This window comes from Homo sapiens, chromosome 21, assembly GCF_000001405.40.
Source record: "Homo sapiens chromosome 21, GRCh38.p14 Primary Assembly".
Lineage (NCBI taxonomy): Eukaryota > Metazoa > Chordata > Mammalia > Primates > Hominidae > Homo > Homo sapiens.
This window is the reverse complement of record NC_000021.9, coordinates 13,757,136-13,764,857: the sequence shown is the minus strand read 5'-3', so window position 1 is coordinate 13,764,857 and position 7,722 is coordinate 13,757,136. Positions and strand designations below refer to the sequence as shown.

General features: G+C 45.8%; 1 pseudogene; it reads right to left on the bottom strand.

The window, feature by feature from the left end:
- Positions 330-2,643, bottom strand: FEM1AP1 (fem-1 homolog A pseudogene 1; annotated as a pseudogene).

Here is a 7,722-nt window from a genome sequence, read left to right as displayed (position 1 = left end):
GGTCGTGATCATGCTGGAAGAAATGAGAGGTGGTTTCATTCCCTGACTTTCAAACTCTCATCTCGGGAGCCCCCAGTCCTAACACTGTATTCAGCAGCTGGAGTTACCTGGCCATGTAAAAGGACAAGGGAAGGCAGACCGTCCTCAACTTCTTCCTGTGTTTCTAGCAAGGAAGGAACGCAATGGCTTCAGTCCCTCCGCCTCTAGGTAACAAGGCAAAGGCCTCCGTAACCCAGGCAGACAGGATGTGGGGAAGGTCTTGTGTCTTTTCCTAACTCAGAATTTCTGAGTCAGTGGGCTTCCCGGAGAAAGACTGTCCTCTTGGCATGTGACCCTGAAGGCTTCTAGCACCAAAGGCTCGCTAACACCTCAGACCCTGTCTTCAGGTAAAGGGGATGGGAGGCAGAACCCTTCTCCTGATTGGTGCCTGAAGGAGGCAAGAACGAGCATCTGCTATACCCCAGCCTGATTTCCCCCGTCTCAGCAGGAGAGGGGAGAGGTGAGGGTGCAGATGTTCTGGGCAGGTCAGTGCAGTTCGATGAATGCCTCCAGATCTTCCGGGATGAAGCCCTTGTAAGGGATCTTGTTCTTATCCAGGGCCTGGGCTGCAAGGCACTGCAGCGTCACGTAGTTGAAGGGCTGCATGGTACCCCTGGCCAGCAGCTTCTCTTCCAGCAGCTCGTAGGCCGTCTTCTTGAAGGCGTTGGTGGCGTCCATGTGGGCCCCTGCTTCAGTCAGGGCATTCACGATGGCCGGGCAGTTGTTCTGGGCTGCTATGTGTAGCGGGGTGTTGTTGTCAAAATCCCTGCTGTCCCGGTCGGCCCCGCAGTCGAACAGCACTTTGACCACGTGCAACGAGGGGAATCTGCCCACGGGGTAGCGGCCCACGTTTGTGGTGTCCTTGTCCACAGCCATGTGCAGAGGCGTGAAGCCGTTCTTGCCCCTGGGTGCGCACTTGAGCAGGCGATAGATGGTCTGGTGCTTCAGGTGCTCCTGGCTGGGGGTGCACTCCACTTTCTCCAGCAGGTAGAGCAGGTGGAGGATGATGGCCAGCGCCTTGTTGAACTGGGCCGAGTCTCTAGGCTCCCTGAGCAGCTGCAGGGCCCATTCCACTTCCCGGACCCCTTTGGTGAGGACCCCCATGAGGTCTGCAAAGCCGATCTGGGTGCCCAGGCTGCCTTTGGCAGCCGGGTCCTGCAGCACGTAGGAGAAGAGTTCGGCGAAGGAGAGGAAGCTGCTGGCGCTCATGGGGCTCAGAGGCTCCAGGTTGCTCTGTTGCATGTCCAGGGCGTACTTCCACAAGCGGATGTAGCACTCGATATTCCCCGAGTCGGCGTACACTGCGCCCCTGTAACGGATACAATAGGAAGTGTCGGGGTGCGAGGGACTGAGGATGCGCTCCCGGATCAACAAGGCCTGCATACGCATCTCATCGGCGTCGGTGATCAGCGCCTCCAGCTCCTCGGTGGTGTTGACCTCCCTGGAATAGTCATAGGCCAGGACCAGCTGTGGGGGCTCCAGTTTGGGCAGGTACTCACCCCCCTGGTGACGCAGCTCCATGGCCCGCCTCCAGTGTTTAAGGGCCCCAAGCAGATCTCGTTTCTTATCCACATAGGTAGATCCCAGCAATTCCAAGGCTTCCATGGCAGCTTCCCGGCTGGTGGGACAGCAGCTTTGGTAAGATTCCCCGTTCAGTACCTCAGGGGAGAAGATGCAGCACGGAGCCCCCTGAGGCTGCGCACACCCCTGGCTGGTGGAGGAGCCTTCTTGGGGCAGCCTAAGCTGAGCCTCTACCCCTATGAGCTGCTCCTGGCCGGGCTGCTCCTGGATGAGGTACTCCACGATGTTGGTGTGGCCCGTCACGCTGGCCGGGAGCAACGGGGTCATGCCGTAGCTATCACGTTCCATGCTGGCCTTGCACCCCAGCAGCAGCTGCAGGATCTCCAGGCTGCTGGTCTCGGCACAGTTGTGCAGGGCCGTGTTGCCCTTGGCGCTGCGCCAGTTCACCTGGGCGCCCTGCTCCAGCAGGTAGCGGGCGATCTCACGGTGGCCCTTGTAGCACGAGATCATGAGGCACATGTGGCCGTGCCGGTTGGCCACCTCCAGGTTGGCCTGGTGCTCGCCGACCAGGTAGCGCACCACCTCCAGGAGGCCCTCGAAGCAGGCGGCGCGGAGGGGCGTGGAGTTGGTGCGCGTGGTGCAGTTCACCGAGGCCCCGCGGCGCAGCAGGCTCCGCACCACGTCCAGGTGGTCCGCGCCCACAGCGGCGGCGCACCCTCCATGGTCTCGCCATCGAAGTGCACCGAGCCACCGGCCTCCACGCTCGCGCCGCACGGGTCCACCAGGTACTCCACCACGTCCAGGTGGCCGTAGCAGGCGGCGATGAGCAGCGGCGTCCCCCCGCCGGCCACCTAGCCAGTCAGCTCGTCCAGTTCCTCCCGGCTCCGGCTGCTGAGCAGCTTCTGGAGCAGCTGCCCCCTTGCCGTCACGGGCGGCGTTGTACACGGCGGTGCGGAGGTCTTTGGTTCGGGCCTCCGCCAGGCCATGAGCCGGCCGCAGGGGGAGGGGGAGACAGAGGATCAGAGCCCAGACAGGCGGGAGCCAACCTTCACCGTCTCCCTCGCCGCCATCTTAGGGTGTCCTAGAGACTTTTAAATATGCAGATCATTGACCTGAGAAACCATTTCGTCTCCAAAGGAACATTTGCAGGCTGTCGTGCAAATCTGCACTTGAGCAACTTTCACATTATGATCTTAGTGAATTCTTGACCAGATGGACTTGAACAGCTGCCACCCATGCTTGGGAAGTCACTTTACTTGAGAAAAGAAAATAGCTCATTTGTTTGCAATTCTTTCCTGAAAGTACATAAGGGCAATTTTCTACATTGTGAACTAGTATCAGAGCAACATTTTCCCTGAAAGACCATAGCTCATTATACTATTTAGGAACAAACAAACAAAAATATATACAAACATTTTTTGGGGAGTTTTATAATTTGTGCCTAGAAGGGACAAGTTTCTTTTCAGATTAAGTTTTAAAAAATGTTCCTTTATTCGAGCTGACATGGAGGTTGTAACTGAGAAAAACCTCCCTCTGAAATTAGAATGCCTTACATTTGTATAACATTCTATACTTTTCAAAGTGCTTTCAGGCACATTATTTCATCTGATCTTCAAAACAGCTCAGTGAGGCAGGTAAAGTGGGTGTTCTTATTCCTTACTGTTTAGATAAGGAAATAGGTTCAGACTACAGATATTATCTGAGTATCTACTAACTTCATTGTATTGTGCTAGGTGTCATAGAGGATAAAATAACATGTATTCCTAAAAGAAGAATCTTGGTTTTAGATAAGACATAACAACACAAAGCTAAATAATACATAAATGTACAATATGGTCAAAAGATGACAAAAGACAATGTATGGTCAAAGTATTAGAAACACAAGCAAACTGTGTTCTCAGATTAAGGGAGACTTCTTAAAGAAGGTGCTACTCGAATATATATGCCTGGAAGGAGGTTTGGAATTTGTGGAATATTTACTCTTTGGCATCAAAATCACTTTCTCATATAACCTTAGAGTATAAGAGATTTTGGCATTCATCTAGTTTGTTCTGATACTCGATGTTGGCACTCCCTATGGCCCCCTAAGCAAAGATGTTGGAATAGCTATGAGTCTTAACAATTCTATCTATATGCAGCTGCAATCTCCATTTCTATAATTCTACCCTTTGTTGACCAGAGTAAAACAAGACTAATCTATTTTCTCTTTCTGTGGAAAGCCTTTACTATGTCTGTAGTCAGCATGACAGCTTGATCTGCCTTTAGTCTTTTCTTCTTTTCATTAATCTTAAAGCTTCTGGAGATACAGTCATTATTTTACTGCTGAGCCCCTATTTTATTTATCCAAATTATCTATAACTTTGGCCATCCCAAATTGATACACTATTGTAGATATGCAGATTTGAATGAGGCTTTAAAAACTATTGTTATCTTTTTAATTCACTGCCAGCATGTCTGTTAATACTGCTAGTTGTGAACATTTCTCAATATAAAGTAACTTTTGTGTAAAAGTTGCATAATTAATATGCCTGGAATGAGTTATGAATGTCTTCCTAAAGAACAAAGGCCACCTTCATTGTGATGGCTTTTTTCTTTTTCTTTCGTATTTTTGTTAAGCCATTCATGATCTGTGCATGCCTGCACAGATGATACTTGCTTAAGGAACTAACACCAAAGCTCTAATATAGTAATAATCTTTGGTATTTTGTTTCTCATCTTTATTACTGGGAAAGTAAAAATTAATCACTCATGTAAATTAATAGTGCAATACTGACCTCTGGTATGTAATGATGAAATTGCTTACTGGATGAACTAGTGGATGCTTGGGAAGAGTTTTATGTTTTAATATAAGAACATCTTTCTCCAAGCAAAGAAGCTTCCTAGGCTATAATTACAAATGTGGAAATTGGGAAACGTAAAACTAACTAACTGAATGTAAAGAATGTATCTATGGTAGTTTATAGTAGTGGGTAAGTAAAAAAGGAAAAGAGAGAACAACTGACACTAGAACTGCCCCATTCAAAAACTTTTTTTACAATTCGGCCATCTTTTAAGAAACTAAACACAGTGAGTTGAGAATAAATGATGTACCCTCCCTCACTTGACTATATTTGAATTGGACTTAAAAAAAAGAGGCTGTTTTGAATTTCTGTGAGTCATCTCAGGTGGTAGATGTGTTTTCATTGCCTGCCACTCCCCAAAGTGCCTCTCCATTTACTTCAGACACAAGGTCCCAAAGTCATAATTTTCTAGTCTTATTTGCTCATCTTTATGATCTTGTAATTTTCTAAAGCCATACAATATGCCTGCTTTATAATTCAAAGGCCTAATATTTGTTAGGCTGGTTCTTGATTCAGGTTTCTCATTCTCCTTCCTATTTTCAGTATGTGTCCTTCCCTCACACTCTATGCTCAAGCCAAATTATCTATCTAGCATTTCCCCCATTGGCACCTTCTGAGCAGAGGTACTGCAGAGTGCACAGATAGGCCTGGAATGAGTCAGTCACTTTGCAGACAGAGGTGTAAGCCATGCAGGTTTAGGCCTCTACTGCCACCAGCGACCCTATTGCTGGCCTAATCCCTCCTGTAGCTGTGCTCATAGAACCTTAGAAATTCGTTACCTGTTGAGGGAGTATCGCTGGGCCAGTCATCAATGAACCCCGATTCCAATTTAATCCTGGCGCTGCCCCTGACTTGTTATGGGACTTTCTTCAATTCAGTTCAACTCCTAGGCTATGAGATTTCTACTTTCTAGTCTGTAACAAAGGGTGACTAGATTAGATGATTTCTGACATCCTTTGTAGTACTCCAATTCTACAACTCTATACATGTGGATTCAGGAGGCTAGCTCAAACCCTGGGTTCTTCACTTCTTGCAATACTCTCTCAATTCCCTTCTTCTCCCATCCTCTAGTTTGTCCAGATGTTACTGTATTTGTGTACTTCCTATGTATACTAAACCATTATATGGACTACACTCTACTGTATCTATTTGTCTATCTATCTTTTTAACTTCATTCAACTGAGATATGGTCGGCTGTTACTAGCTATCAATGGAGTGAATGAGAAAAGACTGCATATCTTGTCTTTATCCTGCAGGTCTGTCTCTGCCACATATTTCTGAGGAGATCCCGGGCCTGGGAAACTTTGGAGTCAACACTGACCTTTTATCCTGGTTCTATAAACCAGATCACATGCAAGAATGTTGCCTCTTAAAAATTCTCAAAAGTGATGAATAGCTATAGTCCAGGCTAAAGGAAAATGGAGAACACCAGGTTGTTAGTGAGAGCTGAATCACTCTGAGTTATGGAGTAACAAGTTTTATTAGGCTGGTGCAAAAGTAATTTGTGGTTTTCGACATCAATTTTAATGGCAAAAAGTGCAATTACTTTTGCTCCAACCGATAGTTCCCAGAGTCAGGTAGACTAGGAAGTGGCATTCAGAAAGCAGAGACTGGGAAGGTGGAGAAGAGTTAGTGAAATGATTTGAGTTTGGAGACAATGGGGTGAAGGCCCAAGGAAAGTTCCACACTCTTGGGTTGGCCATAGGAAAGCATTAAAACTCAGAATTTAATTTGACTAAATTTGTTTGCCAATTCAACTCTCAATTTCTAATTTTCAGTAAACTTTTATATCCTCACAAATGCTTTACATGGGTAGGTTTTTGTGGAAAACAATAAAGGCAATGAACATTCTATCTGGGTCAATGGTTCTTGATCTTCAGGATGCTTTAGAATCACTCGGGGAACTTTTGAAATCTGGATGCTGATGTCAGACTCCTGAGTGATTACAACAGAATCTCTGCAGGTGGCACCCAGAAATCGGTATATCTTAAAAGATCCCAGGTGAATCCAATATGCAGCTTGATTTGGAATGAGTTATTGTGAAACAATAGACTACAGTGATCAACGTGAACTAATCTGAGAGACTCCTCAGCAATCATGTCTCCTTTGTTCTTTAATCAGTTCTATTTCATCTTATTGGAAACAACTATTTTAATTTTGTAAGCCTCCACTTTTCTCAAAACTTCCAACTCCAATGCCATGTATACTCTCAACTAATGACTTTCCTTCTACCTTTCAGAGATAATTGGAGCTTAACATGAAAAATTTCTTCATTTCTTGTCACCAAATCTGTAAATGTGTTTTTTCTGAATTATGTTTCACTAGTGCCTTTCTATCAATATTTGACCATCCAAAGTCATCCATCTCTAGAAAGTAACAATACAGAAATATAGGCCGTGTGTTTGTTGGAAATAAAATAACACTAACAAAGACCTCTCTGAACCAACATAGAAAAGAGAACACAGTTTATTACTACATGAACATGGTCAGATTTCTATGCACGTAGGTACTACAAAAGTGACTAAAATGTCTAGGCAGACTTTCACATAATTTATTTAGCAAAGCAGAAGTAAGAATAACTTCTCATCTCCTCAAGAGACAAAGGGCTACATCCTAAGATAGTCCTCTTGTGAAAAACTCCCAAGTAAGTTTTGGAGGCATTTGTTTACAATTCCAAGGGTCAGAAAGTCCCCATTCTTCCACTGCAAAATCAAAAGCATAAACCTGTTATTTGGACCTATTAAGATTTCAAGGAAATACTCTAAGGAAGACAGGATGGAGAGATAGTGACCTCCAACCTCAAAAAAGTCATCATTTTACCCTTATGGTGTGTTTTGCTTGGTATATGCATATGTATTTCTTAGCTTTGTGAAGTGAAAGAATCTAGAAGAAATGACACCCTAGTAGAACACCTAGCCTCTAGACCTTTGTATCCAAACACTATTTCTCCATGAAAGAAACCCGTGCTCTTTGGGGAAATGACTAATTTTTAGAATAGGGAAAAATGGTTAATTCCTCCATCTACAGAGGAAGGCTGCCTCATTTGGATTGAAGCCACAACTGAGTAAGGGCTTCAATGCATGTAGGTGACCCACGTGGGGTGTCAGAATCAAAACAAGGTGAGGGAGCATCGAGACAGAAGTATTATCCATCACCTGGTGTCTAAACCCCTCAGGCTAGTGGGAAGAGAACACCCATGTAAGGCAGTGGCACAGAATGGGATAAAAAGGATTTGCATGTAGAAGAGTCAAGTCACTGTGGGATTTTCTGGTGTAAATAGACTGAAAGGGGCATCTGTATAGGAGGGCTCCAAGGTGCCAGG